This window comes from Homo sapiens, chromosome X, assembly GCF_000001405.40.
Source record: "Homo sapiens chromosome X, GRCh38.p14 Primary Assembly".
NCBI lineage: Eukaryota > Metazoa > Chordata > Mammalia > Primates > Hominidae > Homo > Homo sapiens.
Window position 1 is genome coordinate 48,930,295 of NC_000023.11, and position 19,008 is coordinate 48,949,302.

General features: G+C 48.4%; 1 protein-coding gene across 15 annotated transcripts in view, besides 8 other annotated features; it reads right to left on the reverse strand.

The window, feature by feature from the left end:
• Nucleotides 1–19,008, reverse strand: part of OTUD5 (OTU deubiquitinase 5) — a 36,358-nt gene that overhangs the window by 8,271 nt on the left and 9,079 nt on the right. For 7 of the 15 annotated variants that reach the window (XM_024452397.2, NM_001136159.2, NM_001136158.2 and 4 more), the window contains exons 2-5: nucleotides 13,896–13,989; nucleotides 4,660–4,724; nucleotides 4,417–4,573; nucleotides 4,170–4,318 (exon numbers count right to left, since the gene is read on the reverse strand). In XM_024452397.2, coding sequence (XP_024308165.1) covers nucleotides 4,170–4,318; nucleotides 4,417–4,573; nucleotides 4,660–4,724; nucleotides 13,896–13,932 — 408 coding nt within the window. In that variant the 5' untranslated portion in view covers nucleotides 13,933–13,989. Of the gene's footprint in view, nucleotides 1–4,169; nucleotides 4,319–4,401; nucleotides 4,574–4,659; nucleotides 4,725–5,896; nucleotides 6,058–13,895; nucleotides 13,990–19,008 lie in introns of those variants that run through there. The other 8 variants (XM_017029630.2, XM_006724537.4, NM_017602.4 and 5 more) reach the window with 2 other exon arrangements.
• Nucleotides 6,666–7,439: an enhancer, noted in NCBI's record as "H3K27ac-H3K4me1 hESC enhancer chrX:48794231-48795004 (GRCh37/hg19 assembly coordinates)". NCBI's record gives its function as "activates a minimal SCP1, AML or CMV promoter by ChIP-STARR-seq in naive H9 embryonic stem cells {active_cell/tissue: H9 hESC(naive)}" and the evidence as "EXISTENCE:reporter gene assay evidence [ECO:0000049][PMID:30033119]".
• Nucleotides 8,321–8,820: an enhancer, noted in NCBI's record as "active region_29622". NCBI's record gives its function as "activates an Ori minimal core promoter by ATAC-STARR-seq in GM12878 lymphoblastoid cells {active_cell/tissue: GM12878}" and the evidence as "EXISTENCE:reporter gene assay evidence [ECO:0000049][PMID:35858748]".
• Nucleotides 8,831–8,880: an enhancer, noted in NCBI's record as "active region_29623". NCBI's record gives its function as "activates an Ori minimal core promoter by ATAC-STARR-seq in GM12878 lymphoblastoid cells {active_cell/tissue: GM12878}" and the evidence as "EXISTENCE:reporter gene assay evidence [ECO:0000049][PMID:35858748]".
• Nucleotides 9,835–10,985: a transcriptional cis regulatory region, noted in NCBI's record as "genic|chrX:48797400-48798550 region (GRCh37/hg19 assembly coordinates) targeted for CRISPR interference". NCBI's record gives its function as "positively regulates PIM2 gene expression in K562 erythroleukemia cells {active_cell/tissue: K562}" and the evidence as "EXISTENCE:mutant phenotype evidence [ECO:0000015][PMID:31784727]".
• Nucleotides 10,011–10,270: an enhancer, noted in NCBI's record as "active region_29624". NCBI's record gives its function as "activates an Ori minimal core promoter by ATAC-STARR-seq in GM12878 lymphoblastoid cells {active_cell/tissue: GM12878}" and the evidence as "EXISTENCE:reporter gene assay evidence [ECO:0000049][PMID:35858748]".
• Nucleotides 10,160–10,660: a transcriptional cis regulatory region, noted in NCBI's record as "genic|chrX:48797725-48798225 region (GRCh37/hg19 assembly coordinates) targeted for CRISPR interference". NCBI's record gives its function as "positively regulates PQBP1 gene expression in K562 erythroleukemia cells {active_cell/tissue: K562}" and the evidence as "EXISTENCE:mutant phenotype evidence [ECO:0000015][PMID:31784727]".
• Nucleotides 11,075–12,275: a transcriptional cis regulatory region, noted in NCBI's record as "genic|chrX:48798640-48799830 region (GRCh37/hg19 assembly coordinates) targeted for CRISPR interference". NCBI's record gives its function as "positively regulates PIM2 gene expression in K562 erythroleukemia cells {active_cell/tissue: K562}" and the evidence as "EXISTENCE:mutant phenotype evidence [ECO:0000015][PMID:31784727]".
• Nucleotides 11,414–11,950: a transcriptional cis regulatory region, noted in NCBI's record as "genic|chrX:48798965-48799505 region (GRCh37/hg19 assembly coordinates) targeted for CRISPR interference". NCBI's record gives its function as "positively regulates PQBP1 gene expression in K562 erythroleukemia cells {active_cell/tissue: K562}" and the evidence as "EXISTENCE:mutant phenotype evidence [ECO:0000015][PMID:31784727]".

Here is a 19,008-nt window from a genome sequence, read left to right on the forward strand (position 1 = left end):
CGCGTGTATATGGAAATGAGCAGTTACATAAATGGATGGTAGGAACCAGTGCATATACATCTGATGGCGTATCTACTGTTGGAGAGGGAATTTGCAGATGAACAAGGGGAGAAGGCTAGAATGAAGCATGTGATAATGGATCTGAGTTGGAGACATCAGTAAGGATTCATGTTTAATATAAATACAGATGGTTACAGGTAGAAATATTTATAGATATGTGTACAAAGGCCACTATACATACATGTAGCTCCTTGCTCTATCAGCTGACAGGGCCTAGAAGCATGGACAACCTGATATCGAAGAGCACATTCAACACCTAGGTCTTGATTTCTGTTAACAGTCTCCAATACATGCCAGGGCTCTCTAAAGAAATGGCTGATTGAGCTGGGCGCAGTAGCTCACACCTGTAATCCCTGCACTTTGGGAGACCGAGGAGGGTGGATCACCTGAGGTCAGGAGTTCGAGACTTCAGCCTGCCCAACATGGTGAAACCCCATCTCTACTAAACAATACAAAAAACAGCTGGGTGTGGTGGCGCATGCCTGTAATCCCAGCTACTCGGGAGGCTGAGGCAGGAGAATCGCTTGAACCTGGGAGGCAGAGGTTGCAGTGAGCTGAGATGGCGCCCTTACACTCCAGCCTGGGCAACAAGAGCGAAACTCCCTCTCAAAAAAAAAAAAAAGACCATATTGATGTACGTAATAACTGGAAAAATTAATAAATTAAGGATGAGTTAAGGATGAGACACAGATCCTCCTTAAAGATTTCCAAATAATCTATGTAGATACTCTACCCTCAAGGGGATGGGGCATAACCATTTCTTAGGCGTGGGCTGCACATAGTGACTTCCTTCCACACAGTACAGTATGGAAAAGGTGGGAAAGAGTAACCTTAGGTGGAGAAACCTAACAAACACTACTTCTGCCAGTTGATCAAGGGTAACACCAACAGGCATAAATGACACTCATAGTATAAACCCTTGAAATGATGTAATGACAATGGCACTTTACCTCTGTGATCTTCCTCCCTAAGACCCACAACCCTAGTTTAAACATGAGAAAAAGTCCAAAAGAGACATTTCCTACAAAATATTTGATCAGTACTCCTTAAAACTGTCAAGGTCATCAAAACAAAACTGAGAAACTATCAAAGATAAAGGGGCCTAAGGAGGCATGCAGATTTCATTTAATAGTAACGTATTAGGCTGGGCATGGTGGCTCACGCCTGTAATCCCAGCACTTTGGGAGGCCGAGGCGGGTGGATCACCTGAGGTCAGGAGTTTGAGACCAGCGTGGCCAACATGGTGAAACCCCGTCTCTACTAAAAATAGAAAAATTAGCCAGGTGTGGTGGTGGGCACCTGTAATCCCAGCTACTTGGGAGGCTGAGGCAGAAAAATCGCTTGAACCCAGAAGGCGGAGGCTGCAGTGAGCCGAGATCGCCTCATTGCACTCCAGCCTGGGTAACAGAGAGAAACTCTGCCTTAAAAAAAAAAAAAAAAAAAGTATTAATGTTGGTTCGCACATTGTAACAAATGTACCATAATGATTTGAACTGTTAATAACAGCAGAACTGGGCTGGGCGCGTTGGCTCACGCCTGTAATCCCAGCATTTTGGGAGGCCGAGATGGGTGGATCACCTGAGGTCAGGAGTTCGAGACCAGCCTTTGACATGGTGAAACCCCGTCTCTACTAAAAACACAAAAATTAGCTGGGCGTGGTGGCGGGTGCCTGTAATCCCAGCTACTCGGGAGGCTGAGGCAAGAGAATTGCTTGAACCCGGGAGGCAGAGGTTGCAGTGAGCCAAGATTGCGCCATTGCACTCCAGCCTGGGTGATGAGAGAGAAACTTCGTCTCAAAAAAAAGATGATAATAATAATAATAATAATAATAATAATAATAATAATAATAGCAGAACTGTGTTTGGGAAGAGAAGGATATGTGGGAATTCTGTATTATCTCCTCAATTGTTCTGTAAATCTAAAACTGCTCTAAACAATTAAGTCTATTAAATACAAAAACTTAAAACATTCATTTTTATTTTTTCTTTCAGACAGAGTCTCGCTCCGTCACCCAGGCTGCAGTGCAGGGGTCAAATCTCAGCTCACTGCAACCTCTGCCTCCTAGGTTCAAGTGATTCTCCTGCCTCGGCCTCCCAAGTAGCTCGGATTACAGGTGTGTGCCACCACACCCGGCTAATTTTTTTTTGTATTTTTAGTAGAAACAGGGTTTCATCATGTTGGCCAGGCTGGTCTCGAACTCCTGACCTCAGGAGATCCTCCCATCTCAGCCTCCCAGTGTTGGGATTACAGGCGTGAGCCACCGCACCTGGCCAGAACATTCATATTTTTGAAGAAAGAAAAAGAGGAAGCTGGGTGCAGTGGCTCATGCCTGTAATTCCAGCACTTTGGGAGGCCGAGGCACAAGGATCACTTGAGCCCAAGAGTTCAAGGTCAGCCTCGGCAATATAGTGAGACCTTGTCTCTACAAAAAAAAAAAATTTTTTTTCATTTTTTTACAAAAAGTTTTTTTAAAACACTGGCCGGGCATGGTGGCGAGCACCTGTAGTCTCCCAGCTACTCGGGAGGCTGAGGTGAGAGGCTTGCTTGAGCCAGGGAAGTGGAGGCTAGCTACAGTGAGCCTAGATTGCCCCACTGCACTCCAGCCTGGGTGAGAGAGTGAGACCCTGTCTCTCCACCCGCCCACCAAAAAAGAAAATGAGCCATTAAACCAGGACAAGTCACAGATGAATCTTAAATGCATAGTGTTAAGTGAAAAAAGCCAGTCTGAAAAAGCTACATACTGTACATTTCCAATTATATGACATTCTAGAAAAGGCAAAACGAGAGTCAGTAAACAGATCGAATACAAAAAACAAGAAAATTCTGAGAAACTGTCACAGCCAAGAGGAGATAAAGGGGACACAACAACTAAATATAATATGGCACCCTGGATGGGATCCTGGAACAGATAAAGGTCATTAGGGAAAAACTAAGGTAATCTGAGTCAAGTATGGTCTTTAGTTAATAATATGTCGATATTGGCTCATTAACTATGACAAATGTACTATGTTAATACATTAATCATAGCGAGGCATATGGGAACTCTGTAATATATTTGTAACTTTTTTTTTTTTTTTTTGAGACAGAGTCTCATTCTGTCGCCCAAGCTGGAGTGCAGTGGCACAATCTTGGCTCACTGCAACCTCTGCCTCCCAGTTTCAAGTGATTCTCCTGCCTCAGCCTCCCAAGAGTAGTTGGGATTACAGGCACCCACTGCCACACCCAGCTAATTTTTGTATTTTTAGTAGAGACAGGGTTTCACCATGTTAGCCAGGCTGGTCTTGAACCCCTGACCTCAGGTGATCTGCCAGCCTCGGCTTCCCAAAATGCTGGGATTACAGGTGTGGGCCACCGTGCCCAGCCTCTTTGCAGTAATTCTGTAAATCTAAACCTGCTCTAAAATTAAGTTTATTTAAAAACAAAACAAAAAAGAACCCTATGTTGGAGGGTGTGTTGGTGTTAGGCTATGTGTTTCCGAAAATGAAGCAGGAGTACTTTGTGTTTGTAGAAGTGAAACCTGAATAGAAGATACCAAAATCCTCAGCAAATGACTGTAAGAGAGAGAGAGAGAAATGAATGAGAATCTATCGGTATGTGCTGGGAAAATGCACTGCCACCTTCTGAACACCTACTAGGCCCCAGGCCCAGTGGGAGGTGCTTTCTGTATCAGCCAAGCTGCCAGCCTGGAATACTTACAGAATCTGCCTAGATCACACAGCCAGTGAGTGGTGGGGCCAGGCCTGTACCCCATGTCTCTGTGACCATGGCTGTCTGTAACCACTATGATCCCAGGAGAAAGATCCATGCCAAGATGCCCAGAGCAAGCCCTGGCTCACTGCTCCAAAATAGGACTCCACATCCTAAAATGCCAGCCCTCAACGGGCACAAAAGATAGGTAAGCCAACTCAGACAGGCAAACCAAGACCAAAGAACAAGCCCTGAGAGATCACCTTAAGTAACTCCCTATTTTTTTTTTTTTTTTTGTAAGGGTGAGACCTCAGGGGAGAGAGGAGACAGGATATTTTTGTGAGTTAGGGGCAAAACAGACTCCAACAGAGGTTTCTGACCTCTATATCCAGCAGCCATTCTGGGCACAGGGACCCACTCACCCCTGGTTTGAATGATGGCAGGCCCAGCCCCACACCAATGGTGGCCTTGTTAGGATTCACCACTGAATTATAGTGGATATTCCGATGGTAGCTAACACGAATGGGTTCGTCCTCGTTTTGATGTATCCCATGGAATGTGTTGATGGGTTCTGCAGAGAAAGAGAAGGAGGGAGCATCCACAGCAGGCCAGGTTGGGCAGGCTCGAATGAGGCACCATCTTTCCCTCACCTACCCACTGCAGAAGTACCTGTGCTGTACTGGTACACCTCCACAGGACGGTTGTACATCTCTGCCATGGCCTGCATCTCAATGTGGTTGCCATGGCAATTGTTTTTCCGCTTCCTGTTAATGTAGGTGGTAAAGTCCTCTGTGACATAGTTGGAGAAGTAGTCGGCATTCTTCATCTGCAGAATAGATTGGAAGGTTAAGGTCTGTGTGGAGAAGAAATCCTCCCACCCTGCCCCTTCCCCAAAGGCCTCCATTTTCTCACCAGATAGTCCATGCAATGCTTTCGCACAACCTCATGCATGTCCTGGTCTCCATACACCTGGTCAGCTGTGGGGGCAGAAGAAAGCAGCAGCTAGGGTCAGAGATGCCAGAGAAGAGCTCTGAATCATAGAACATCCTTTGGGGAGGAGGAACTGGGGGACCAGGGAAATTCCCTTTTCTACCCCAAGGCCTGGAGAGTTCTTGCCCTTGTAGGCTAGAACGGGGTCATGGAAAAATATGGCAGGCAGGGCCAGACTTGAAGAACAAGAGAGTGCAGGTGAGAGGAACACATCCACAGGCCTCTTGGGCAGATGACTTTGTCTAGGGTACACGTGGCCACTCAGAGAAATCAACAACATTCTAAGTTCCACAGGTTGGCCTCAAATGCTATTGATTCCCACACCCCCTTTGCTTTCCACATGAGGAAACTGAGGTTCAGGGGGAGTTTGTGGTTTGTCCAAGGTCACAAAGAGTCAGTCTGTGACAGAGTCAACTCTGAATTCAGTTTTCCTGACTCCTACAAGTCAACATGGCCTTTGTAGGCTGAAAAAAAAGGGAACAAAGACAAAAAAAGGAAAGAAAAAAAAATGGGCTCCAAGCCCAGTTCTGCCAGATACTAGAGAGTTGAGTGACCAGAGGCAAGTGACCCAAGTGTTCTGAGCCTCATATACCTCATCTGTAAAATGGGAAAAAGAGGGATAACAGGCCAGGCGTGGAGGCTCACACCTGTTATCCCAGCACTTTGGGAGGCCAAGGTGGGCAGATCACTTGAGGTCACGAGTTCGAGACCAGCCTGGCCAACGTGGTAAAACCCCGTCTCTACCAAAAATACAAAAATTAGCCGGGCATGGTGGCGGGCGCCTATAATCCCAGCTACTTGGGAGGCTGAAGCAGGAGAATCGCTTGAACCCAGGAGGCAGAGGTTGCAGTGAGCCGAGATCATGCCACTGCACTCCAGCCTGGGCGACAGAGTAAGACTCTGTCTCAAAAAAAAAAAAAAAAAAAAAAAGGGATAACCAAATGGCAGGCCTTTTGTGGGGATTAAATGAGATAACGGGTATAAAATAACTACCACTGGGCTTGGGACAGAGTAGCCACAGAGTAAATCAGAATTCCTTCCTCCGTAGGGAGGCCTGAATGTGGGGTACTGTGAAGGTGACAGAGGTGAGTAAAATCCTGCCCCTACCTTCGGGGAGCACACAGTCTAGTAAAAGAGATAAGACACACATGCAACTAACTTTAGCTTAACTCAGGATGGGCAGCCTGTGGCCCGAATAGTCCAGGCGTCGTGAGATTTGGTCAAACTAAGGCGAGAAGGAAACACACTCCCTCTGCTTCGCTTGAGGATCTTCACACATGCCGTTCCTTCTCTTCAGGACGCTCCTTCCATCCTCGTCAGCTGCCTACTTCTCAAACACCAATGTGTTCTTTATTTATTTATTTATTTGAGACAAGGTCTCGCTCTGTCGCCCAGGCTGGAGTGCAGTGGCGCGATCATAGTTCACTGCAGCCTTGACCTCCTGGGCTCAAGCGATCCTCTCGCCTCAGACTCCCAAAGTGCCTGGATTACAGGTGTGAGCCACCGCGCCTGGCCCAACATGTTCTTTAATACAGTTCCCCACTACCCAGGACACCTCTATCACCAGATTTATCAAAGGTGTGCATAGACTTCTGCCCGACCACACTGGGCTCCCACAGAAGGCAAAGGGCAGTTCACACCAAAGTCCACCCCCAGCTCAGGGCCCGATACAGTAAAGGAAATCAGGAAAAGTTTACTGAGCAAATGGATAGGCTGGGTAAGCCAGGGAGCTCTTCTCCCTGTGAAATTAAAGTGGGCCTGAAGATCATGCAAGTCTGATTTCCACTGGTTTTGGGAATTTCCCTTTGTTTCCCCAGAGGACCACTGCTCTGATGGGATCTCCCTGGGGCATGGGGCTAGGGTCAGGTCACACAGGAACACTCCTGAGTTCTTCCCTGTCAGTCTACCTCTCTGAAGAACTGTCAGAAGAACACCTTCCCTGCCTTCCCCTTCCTACCCTGGAGTGTTCTGTGAGAAAGGCTACTCTGAGATAGAAAATAGGGCCCATGTTTGTCTCCAGTCCTCTTGGAGGTGAAGAGACCTGAAGGGTAAGGGGGTGTGGAGGTTGTGAAGGCGGGAAGGGGGGTAGCCCCTTCACCAATGTAAACAAGGATGTGGGTTCTGCGGCCACACTCTCCCCCGCCCTCCCCAGCGGCATTTCCAGCAAGTCACATGTCCTGCGCACAGGCTGGGGGCCCCCTGCTGCTGCCTTTCTTAGAAGCCAGGACCACAGAGCCCGCACAGTGAGCTACTTGGGGAGCTATTTCTGTAGACTGAGCTTGGGGTACTGGGAGGCAGTGCTGTTGGCAGCTGCAGTAAACAGGAACAAAGATGAGAATGAAGGGGTTAAATAGGGGTTGGCTGGCCAGGCTCAGAGAGATAGGCTGAGGTGCTGGAGAAAGCCCATCTCCTATGGAAAGGTCAACGGTCATTTCCAGGCCTGGGAGTTCTATCTTCAAGAGCTAGATGCCAGATGCAGGAAAATGGGGAAAGAGAGGAGACTGTGGAACAGGGAAGGGATCTGGGGGAAAACCCCCTGAGGGTCCCATTTCTCTGCCACTGACCCCTTTGCCTGGCAGAAAGGCTCTGCTGCCTCCTAGCTGTGTAGCAATGGATAAGGCCTTTAACCTCTCTAAGCTGAAATGTCCTCATGCATAAGGTGGAGACAGTAACTCCTCTTCCATCTGCTGGGTGTTGTCAAAACTACACAGGAGGTTTGCCAAGCACCTAAGGCACAGTAGGTGGTCAAGAAACAGGAACACAATTTGTCATGACGACAATGATTCCTTCATATGCTAGTTACCCACGAGTCAGCCAGAATGTTGCCATAACCACTTATGAAGCCCTTCCTCATTTCTGTTGCAATTCCTCAGCCAGAGGAAAGCCCCAAATGCAGACCTAGGATGCATGTCCTCTCCTGGCTCTCTACCTTTAGCGAAACCAAAGGTCCACAAGTCTACCTCTAGGCCGTTAGTTCTAACAAAACTTCAGCAGTTAAATTAATATCGAATTAACAATACAGGCTTCATAAAACAGGGTCCTAAAGTATGGACGAGTTATGACACTTCTTTACTTATCTGTAAAATGTAAAATACCACCTTCTCTCCTCAATCCTATGATGGCACTGATAGGTGATATGGTATAACATGTACCTAATCACAGCTTTTGAGGGGGGAAACACACCACACTGATTATAAGGTATACCCTAAGTTTGGAATCATTAACGTGGAAGAAAATATACATCTCCAAACCAAGGAAAACAGCAATAGTACTACCCCAACAAGGGAGAATAGAAGGATTTCTCCAATAATATAAGGCAGGAAAAGCATCTAAGCACAGAGCTAAACACATAGGAAGTACTCAACAAGAATTCATTTTTGGCCAGGTGTGGTGGCTCACGCCTGTAATCCCAGCAATTTGGGAGGCCGACGCAGGTGGATCACCTGAGGTCAGGAGTTCAAGACCAGCCGAGCCAACATGGTGAAACCCTATCTCTACTAAAAATACAAAAAATTAGCCAGGCAGGGTGGTGGATGCCTGTAATCCCAGCTATTTGGGAGGCTGAGGCAGAAAAATCGCTTGAACCCGGGAGGTGGAGGTTGCAATGAGCCAAGATCACACCACTGCACTACAGCCTAGGCAACAAGAGCGAAACTCTGTCTCAAAAAAAAAAAAAAGAATTCGTTTTTCTGACTTTCCTAGCTCCACCTCTGTCCTCCAGAAAGCCCTCCTCTTCCCAGAAGGCTGGCACACAGGGCTGGGGGCCAGGCTTGACTTCCCTGTGGAGGGGTCTGAGGTTGGGGGGATGACCTGCAGAGGTAGGGGAATTCAGAGAACTTGTTTTGATAGAAACTGAAACTCCTCCTCTTGCTGACGCTGCACTTGTGGGCAATCTGCACCTGTTCTCCCCTCCCAGAGGCCAGCTGGAAGGGGGTCCCCCACCATTCTACCTCTGTTCCCATCTCAAACAGGGCTCAGAAATCCTCAGTACAATACTACAATTGGTCCCACACCAAAGACTTTTCACACTCCAACTCATTCTATCCTTACCAAAACACTCTTACTTTACCCAGGAGACACAGAAATGTGGCAAAGCTTGCCTGGGATCACAGATTTAGGGGGAGTGAAGGGGAGGCCAGGCTCTCAAAGGGTAACTGCTGGCCCCAGCTGATATTACCACCTTCACCCCAATCCAGCCACCATCTTAGTCACCTTACTCCCTGGGGCAGGACCTGATCTTGTGTGCCTCAGTTTCCACACCAGCACAAGCAGGAATCAGCTAGAACCCAGGAAAGGCATGGGAGAGGGCAGAGATTATAGATATCAGGGGCTGCATCTCTCCCTAGGGCCACAGAGGCCAATATGAACCTTACCCTCCCCATACACACCCCACTTCTTTCCTTTTTCTGGACACACAGAGACACCAGTATAGAAATGCACATGTGTATACACATACAGCAGAGACTGCCAAAGATGCTCCCTGAGGCCAAATGCTCACCCAACAAATCCCACAACAGAGAACTATCACATTCAATGAGTAGATGCCCTTGCCACTTCAGGAAAGACTGAAGATGTGAGGCTCTATAAACTGAGGGACCCCCTACCCCACCAACCTCCTTCCTGGCCTCTGGCAGGGTAGGTGGAGGGCAGGGGAAATAACCAAGAGCTCTAACAGACTAGCCTCAACCTCTCTCCTCTGTTGCCCGGGGGAAGTCCTTATGTAACTAATGTAATGTAACCAATAATGTACCCAGATTTATGTTAAGAAGCAAGACATGAGAGCCTGGATTATCTTCCTATAGGGTCCTACCATTTGCTTTAGAGACATCTGAGAACTGCCTACTCCCCAGGTAGCTGCCTGCCTCCCAGAAGAGCCACAGCAAGTTCCGCTAAGGGCAAAAAAGGAAGCTAGGTGTCTACAGGGAACCTAAAAACAAACCACACTAACGTGTGTACACACAGCTGCAGAGGGAGACAGGGACCTGGTCTGCTCCCCACTACCCTCCTGGTCCAGTGGGAACCCTGGCCCCACTGAGAACCAATCTCCTGAGGAGATGAGCCAGGACAAAGGTCTCACTTGCCTGTCAAGCAGCTGTGGTGTGACCTGGTCTGTAGCCCCAACTACCCCAACTAGCATACCCTCAGTGGGAGAGACAGAACTCATCCCACTGGATAGTCTGGTTCCTGAGATGTGTGCTCCTCTGCTCAAGGATTCCCACTGCAAGGATGAGAAACCTGAAGGATACACGGGAGAGGCTGAAGGAAGCTGGTGTACAGGAAATGGCCCGTGGGAATCTTCTTTCTGTGGCCTGGTTCAACCTCAAATACCAATGTTCTGACACTGGTTGTATGACCTAGATAGGGTAGGGTCTTGGCTTTCTCTTGAGGCCTCAGTTTCCCCATTTATAAAACAATCAAAATTGATCTCAGATCCATCCCTCCTAGTGCTGATGTTCCAAGACCAAAAGGCCCAGAAGAGTGGGCCTAGCTAATGTTTCTGGGCCTCATCGTGGTAACATGCACAGCCCTTGCCACTCCCCCATGGCCCATGTAGAAACAACCATGTGGCCTTCACTCTGCCCACAGAAGCTAGCACCAGGACCCTGGTCAGGGTTAGAGGTTTCTGCTGAGTCAAAGCCACATGGAGGGAGGGAGCAAGGGAGAGATGCAGAGTCATGTTTCCAGGAGGAGGTTATCTGAGCATAACAGGGACAGGGTGGGCCACAGGATACCTCTGAGGCTCAGGTTCCCACCTCCACTCCACCCAAGCCTTCAATGATGCTCATGAATCCCCAATAAGAGGAGGTGGGAGAGAACTGAGCGCAAGCAATGGATATTGCTTAACTCAGGGGAACCAATGGCAGGCAGGCAGCTACCTGGGGAGTAGGCAATTCTCAGAAGTCTCTAAAGCAAATGGTAGGACCCTATAGGAAGATAATCCAGGGGAACAGAAGGCAGAAAGCCACCTGCCTCAAGACTCCCAACAACAGAGGGCCACGTGCTCCTACTTGGAGGAGGTAAGGTCCAGAGAAGTCAAGGAACACAGCCAAGGTCATCCAGCCAGTTGACAACCAAGCTAAGAAGCTAAGGATCCTAGGATCATAAAAAGAATGTGTCCTGGCCGGATGCGGTGGCTCATGCCTATAATCCCAACACTTTGGGAGGCCAAAGCGGGTGGATCACAAAGTCAGGAGTTTGAGACCAGCCTGACCAACATGGTGAAACCCCATCTCTGCTAAAAACACAAAAATTAACCAGGTGTGGTGGTGCACGCCTGTAATCCTAGCTACTCAGGAGGCTGAGGCAGAAGAATCACTTGAACCCGGGAGGCAGAGGTTGCAGTGAGCCGAGATCACGCCACTGCACATTCCAGCCTGGGCGACAGAGGGAGACTCCATCTCAAAAAAAAAAAAAAAAAAAAAAAAAAAAAAAAAAAAAAGAATGCGTGTCCTTTGGACACCTCTGGGTTCCCAGGCCAGCTCTGGCTAATGGCCCTGAGCATGTCATTTCCCTTTCTATGCTTCAATCTTTTCACCTGTCTCATGGGATAATGATCCAAGTTTTGCAGTGAGCCTGAAGCACCCAGCTGAATGCCTAGCACACAGCAGGGGTCAAGGAAACAGTGCCCTCTATGTTTGCAGCCCCCGCCCAACTCCAACTCTCTGCTCCACGTTCCTTCCACTATTCAACACATGGCAGGAAGTCAGCCTGTAGGGCTTCACACTACAGTCTAAGCTGACTGCCATCTGTCCCCATCCAGGCGAGGCTGGAAACGGGGGCAGCAAAAAGCCCAGGGACAAAGTCCCCTTCCCAGGCACATGTATTATGCACTCTGCACCAAGGAAACCTCCAGATAAGGTCTAGAGACCAAGGGCCATGTACTTCGGGGGAGAGGCCAGAGGACTTCTGAGGTTTTACAGAGAAAAGCCAAAGGCAGCCCAGTCAGGGGAAATGTGTAGCCATAGTGCCGATAAGGAAAGGCCTTCAACCTGCCCTGGTCAGCTCTTCCTGTAAGTAGAGGCCCCTTACTGAAGGCCCCAGTGGGAGGAAGGGTCGGGAGTATTTGGGGAGAACAGCTAGATACATATAGACACACACACACACACAAATACTGCTCTTGATACGAGTTACTACAACAAGCCAGGTCCTCACTAGCTAGCCCCAAGGGTCGGGGGTATTTGGGGAGAACAGCTAGCTAGATACACACACACATACACACACACACACACACACACACACACACACACACAGAGAACAGCTAGCTAGATACACACACACACACACACACACACACACACACACACACGGCTCTTGATATGAGTTACTACACAAGCCAGGTCCTCACTAGCCAGTCCCAAGGCTTACCCTCAATGACTGCCCAAGACTCAGATGCCCGCTGCATTCTCTAATCCTAACTCCACCAGAAGCCCTGCTTACCCCACATCTAGCCTGAGGTCTCAACACAGGGCCTAGCACCTAACAGGCCCCCACCTATTCTTTCTTTGCCTTTCTTTTGTCCAAGATGCCCCGAAACCCAGCTCTTCCTCTGGGAAACATCCCAGGGAAAACACAAACTTGAGCCAGAGGGGTAGGAGGGATAAGTTTTTTCCCAGTCCAATAGAGCCCATTGCCTGAGCCTCTTCTGCTTGGCAGAATAGAGAGGAGACCATTCACTCCACCCTTTCAACAAACACATGTGACTCTGAGGCACCAGTGAAAATGGCATCTGGGTTTTACAAATGCTACTGTTCCATGAGGGTCTACTATATGTGTCAGGCACTAAAGGGATTTACCAAAGCAACTTCATTAAATCGTTACAGCATTAGGGTCTTTTAGCCCCATTTTACAGATGAGGAAACAGCCTCAGGAAAGAAGAGCTGCTTGCCTAAGGTCATACCAAGAATCAGTTGTGCAGCCAGGGATGGAGCCTAAAACACCCCAGCCCACCAGTAGACATGGGGGGTACCCACAGACGGAGAGAATAGCAGACCAAGAAGGAACTCAAAGAGGCATTGAGAATCAACACCATTTCACAGACGGGAAGACCAAGGCCAAGTGTCACAGCAGTTATGAGTCAGGGCCAGAACTAGAAGGTAGGTCTTCTGACTCCCAGCTCAAAGCTCCTATCAGAGGGCACTTTTCCTTGGTAGATATCAGAGAACCACAGGGAGGATCAGGTCACATTCCCAGCTTCCCCTTCACCCTAGCACAGGACCTCACAACTACTTGTTGGGTCACAGATTCAGAGCCAAAATGGCCTCAAAGATCTAACTCAGACTGGATAACAGATGGTATTAAGGCATTATTAATTCTGTTAGGTGCAGTAATGGCATTTTGATTATGTTAAAAAGAAGAGAGTAAGTCTGTATCTGTCAGAGAAACATACAGAAATATTTATGAATGAAATGATCCAATGTCGGGGTTTTGCTTTAAAAATACTCTTCTTTCAGGGGAGTGAGAAAGAGTGGGCGGGATAGTGATGAAACAAGGCTGGCCACGTATTGACTATTTTGAAGCTGGATGATGGGTACATGAGGGTTCATCATTCTCTCTACTTTTATATAAGTTGAAAAAAAATTCTATGATATAAGAAATTTGTAAAGATCTAGTCTGATAGCCCCCATACACACAGATTGAGGAACAGAGACCCGCAACACACCAGAGATGGGATCTGGGTATAAACCTAGGGGTCATACAGCCCAGGGTGGCAGCAGTATGCTATGGTTAAGAGCATGGGCCTCAGACTAATCTAACCCAGACACTGAATCCCAACTCTACCACTTATTATTTCACTCCAGACAAGTCACCCACCATCTCTGAGCCACTTTTCTCATCTGACAAATGGAAGCAACAGTAGTCCCTACACTCACCTAGCTTAGAGGGGAATCAAAGAGGTTTCCTGTAGCACCTGACAATGTGTCCCAAAGGATATTATTTTCTTTATCATTCTTCTTGCTGTTATTATGCATATTAATCTTGCACCACTACAATGTCTCAAGACCCACGGCTAGAGGTCAGATACCAACTTGAGGCTGGAGCCTAGAGTCCCTAAAAGATTAGCTAGCTCTGCCTCAACCCTGTCTCAGGGGCTATTCCTGATAACTGGGACACAGCTTAGGGGCAGCCCTAGGCCCTTAAGGACTAAGGCAGAGACTCACCTACAGCCCGGAAGAGACAGGCGCCATCCTCCTTCATCTGCTTGATGATGAAGCCCTTCTTGTCTCGTAGGGCCTTTTCAAACCAATGCTCCTGCTGGAGGGAAGAGGTGGGGGTCAGCAACAGGGAAAACCTGTACTCCCTCCCCAGGGCCCCGACCTCAAGCTCCCGAGAGGCCTAGATCATTGACAGAGAGGACGCTGGCCAAGGTAAAGTTCTCAGCCCTGTTTGACCACTCCATGCATGTGAAGTAGGAGACTCTTTTAGGGAATTAGTTGCTGAGTGAAACTAAGACTTACTTCCAAAAGGGTCCTAGGTGCCCTGAGAACAGTGGCCCCATATGCCTTATGGCTTCTGTTGACCTTGCAGGGCCTGGCCCAGGGAGCCACACTGCCTCAGGCAGCCAGAGACTCAGACCCAGCAAGTGCCTGGGTGGAGAATGTGGCTCTACCTCAAGGAGTTTCATCTAGGAAAGGTGGTGAAGAGGGGGTAACTAGCAAGAGCCTAGATCCTGAACCTGACAAAGGGCTAGAGGATTCCAAGATATGCTGTAGGCCGGGCATGGTGGCTCACACCTGTAATCCCAGCACTTTGGGAGGCCAAGGTGGGTGGATCACCTGAGGTCGGGAGTTCGAGACCAGCCTGACCAACATGGAGAAACCCCGTCTCTAATAAAAATACAAAAGTAGTCAGGCGTGGTGGTGCATGCCTGTAATCCCAGCTACATGGGAGGCTTAGGCAGGAGAATCGTTCGAACCCAGGAGGTAAGAGGTTGCGGTGAGCTAAGATCACCCCATTGCGTTCCAGCCTGGGCAACAAGAGCGAAACTCTGTCTCAAAAAAAAAAAAAAGAGATATACTCTAGAAGGCAAAAGTGTGCAAACAATGTTCTCATCTGTGACTGAACACATTTAACAGATATCTACACATATATACATATGTATGTATACAAACACACGTACACAAAATTGGGAAGGCTAGACAGCAAAATATCCCTAAGTCCTGGTGTTATCAGCGATTTTATTGCACTTTCCCTTTTATAAAGTTACACTAAACCCAAAAAGCTTTGAAAATCAAGTCTTTTTTTTTTTTTTTTTTTTTTGAGATGCAGTCTCACTCTTTTGCCCAGGCCGGAGTGCAGTGGCACTATCTCGGCTCACTGCAAGCTCTGCCTCCCGGGTTCATGCCATTCTCCTGCCTCAGCCTCCCGACTAGCTGGGACTACAGGCGCCTGCCACCATGCCTGGCTAATTTTTTGTATTTTTAGTAGAGACGGGGTTTCACCATGTTAGCCAGGATGGTCTCGATCTCCTGATCTCGTGATCCACCCACCTCGGCCTCCCAAAGTGCTGGGATTACAGACATGAGCCACTGTGCCCGGCCCAAAAGTCTTTATCTAATTCATTTGGCATCATAACCTGACCAGAACTGACAAGAATCTATTTATCCCACTTGGGGTAAATATTCAAATATTTCAATGCAGAAAACATTCAGGTGTTTGATTATGAGGTGCTGCCTCAGACCCTGCTGGAGGTGTTATGTAACACAAAGTATACACACCAGGTAAGTTTTATAAATTGTTTTTTTCCTAAATTCCAAAGCACACCTGGCACCACGAAGGTTCAACTTAAATGAACCTGTACAAATGCCTATTTTTTAATTAAAAAAATAATGACCATATAACCTCTTAAAACATAATTTTCATTTCAAAACAAAACCAACCAGAAGCAGCAGACCTTTCCTGGGCCCCTCACGCCCTCTGCTGGCTACCAGAAGCAGCCAGCCTGACCTAGCAACAAGGCTGCAAACTACAGGATCCCAAGCCTGCTCCTTGTGGACACAGGCCTGCCCAGGGATTTATAGGATCTGGGGTATTAGAGACCAGACATAGGGGCCCACCTATCCGTAAGGCCATTTTTCCCCAGCTCAAGCAAGGGGTGGAACCCATCCCCTAAGAAAGCCAGAGGAGAAGCATCTCTGGCAAAGTTGTAAGCACAAGGTTTGGAACGCAAGAGCTCTGGGTTCCAACCCCAGCTTTGCCACACACTTGCTGTCTGTTATCACTCTCAGTTTCCTATAGAATGGGGGATATGTTGATCTACCGGACAGAGCTGTGAGGAGTTTCAGGACCTAAAGAAGCTTTGTAAATAACGTACCATATACTAGGGGAAGTTGTCGCCAATCACAGAAGGGGAGGAGATCAGCACAGAGATTATGCACAACTGAGAGACCCTCAGAAAGTCCCAGGTGAGTAGCGGGACAGGAGGGGAGGAAGAGGTGACAAGGGAATACCCAGCCAGTCCCATCATCAGGGCCCACACCCCAGGAAAATGTGGCTGGATTTCTAGAGATGACAAAGACACCTGGAAGCCCTTAATGAGCTTCCATGCGCAGCACAAGGACTCCTGTTTGTGCACAACATTCCAGTGGTCCAGGTGTCCCTCCTTGCCCCCAAGCCTGTGGATTAACACACTCCAGCCAGTTATGCCCAAGTCCATCCTGGCCACACATGGTCAGCCATCTCCCAGAGTCATGGGCCTGCCCCAGCCAGGGGTCTCCAGCAGGGATGGTGCAACCACAACTATAGTCCCAAACCTGACACAAGAATAGGTTCTTAAAAAGAAGGGAACACAGCGACTTCCTGGCTTTGGAGAGAGGGGAAAAAGAGAGGAGAAAAGGAGATCAAACAGGAGAGGGGCTCCTACTTATCCATTCAAGAAAGACTTACCAGGTAGCTACTAAGTAAGATACTGGGCTGGGCAGTGAGGACAGTGAAATGAATCAGACTTAGTCTCCACTCTTGATAAGCTCACAAACTACTTAGCAGAGGGGTAGGGAAACAGGTAACCACCACAAGGTATGAACAAGGCTGTGAAAAATGTAAATGCCAGGTGTTGTGAAACAGAAAGAGGCTGGGCGAAGTGGCTCTCGCCTGTAATCCCAGCACTTTGGGAGGCCGAGGCAGGTGGATCACTTGAGATCAAGAGTTCAAGACCAGCCTGGCCAACATGGTAAAACCTTGTTTCTACTAAAAAATACAAAAAAAAATTAACTGGGCATGGTGGTGCATGCCTGTAATCCCAGCTAAATCAGGAGGCTGAGGGAGAAGAATCGCTTGAACCTGGGAGACAGAAGTTGCAGTGAGCCGGGATCATACCACTGTATTCTAGCCTAGGCGACAGAGTGAGACTCTGTCTCAAAAAAAAGAAGAAAAGAAAAGAAACACAGTCATTGGGCCAGGCACGGTGGTTCACACCTGTAATCCCAGAACTTTGGGAGGCTGAGGTGGGCGGATCACCTGAGGTCGGGAGTTTGAGACCAGCCTGACCAACATGGAGAAACCCCGTCTCTACTGAAAAATACAAAATTAGCCAGGTGTGGTGGTGCATGCCTGTAATCCCAGCTACTCGGGAGGCTGAGGCAGGAGAATCGCTTGAACCCGGGAGGCGGAGGTTGTGGTGAGCCAAGATCGCACCATTGCACTCCAGCCTGGGCAATAAGAGCAAAACTCTGTCTCAAGGAAAAAAAAAAAAAAGAAAAAAAGAAACACAGTCATTAAGGCTAGCACCTGAGAGGAGGTGCCACCTGACCAAAGGATTAAAACACCAAGACCTCCAAAAATGCTTGTTAACTGGATGAGAAATGAAGTCACTTCTGCCACGAAGTACCAGGAATGCCTGGAGCCCAGCAATGAATTCAGTAGAGCTAAAGTTCTGGGTAGTACTAGGCAGGTAAGCAGGGAGGACCAGGAAGAAAGATGAACTCATATTAACTGAATACCTGCCCCATGCCAGATGCAAAGGGTGACCTCGTTTAATTTTCCTGACCACAGCCCAGGTGGCAGGAAACATTACCCTCACTTTACAAAGGCAGAAAGGAGGCCAGACACGGTGGCTCACGCCTGTAATCCCAGCACTTTGGGAGGCCAAGGCGGAAGGATCATCTGAGGTTAGGAGTTTAAGACCAGCCTGGCCGACATGGCGAAGCCTTGTCTCTACTGAAAATACAAAAAATTAGCAGGGCGTGGTGGCGTGTGCCTGTAATCCCAGTTACTTGGGAGGCTGAGACAGGAGAATCGCTTGAACTCGGGAGGTGGAGGTTGCAGTGAGCCGAGATGGCACCATTGCACCCCAGCCAGCCTGGGCAACAGAGCAAGACTATGTCTCAAAAACAAAAACAAAAACAAAACAAAAAACAAAAAAACAAAGGCAGAAAGAGAAAGGAGCTGGAGTTTGGATACCAGCAAAGCCTAGTGTAGAGGCAACAGGGAAGGCCCCCACGAGCCACAGCATGGAGGACATACCTTGCAGCCCATCCACAGAATATCCTGGTTTGTCTCTAAACATGAAAGAGACCTGAATAGGCCCCTCGCACTGCAGGGTTTGGGTCCTGGGGCAGTCAAACTGGCATCCAGGCTTGGATCTAGAGGCTGGACTGCTAGCCACCCACTGGCTTTGTCATCAGCAGCCTGAGGAGTTTGGGCTCTGGCCCTTCTCTTTCTCCTTTTGGGGAGAAAATGTTGCTCAGGAAGGGCTAGTAGGGGTGGGGGGTAGGGGATAGCTCAGCCATAGATAAGTTTAAGCTCCAACAATGCCCTGGCCTGAGGAGATTGTGAACCTTGCAAACTCATCGCTGAGCCTATGGGAAAATCCCTCCATATCTTTGAGCCTCCACAAAAAGGCTGAGTAAAGCTCCCTAACACCAGAGGATCCCAGGAGCTGAGGCAAGATTCTGTAACCTAGTGGTCTAAGGGCCCAAGTGAAGTTGGAGCAGGCTGTGGAACCCAACTGACTTAGGTTCCAATCTAGCTCCACCAATTATTAGCCATGTGATGATGAACTGCTCTGAGCCACAGTTTTCCAATCTGTGAATGGGGATACCAAGCCTCCCAATAATAGGGATGCTGGGCAGACTCAAATATTACAGGGCTTTGCCCAGTAAGAGACCACTTAATGAGTTCCCTTCCCTTCCCCAGGAGGGAAAAAAGCCTCTCTAGTAGGCTGATTAATAGCCACGCAAAGATATCAAACCCTAACCCCCCTGGAACTTGTAAATGTTACCTTATAATGAAAAAGGTAGGGCCAGGCGTCGTGGCTCATGCCTGCAATCCCAGCAC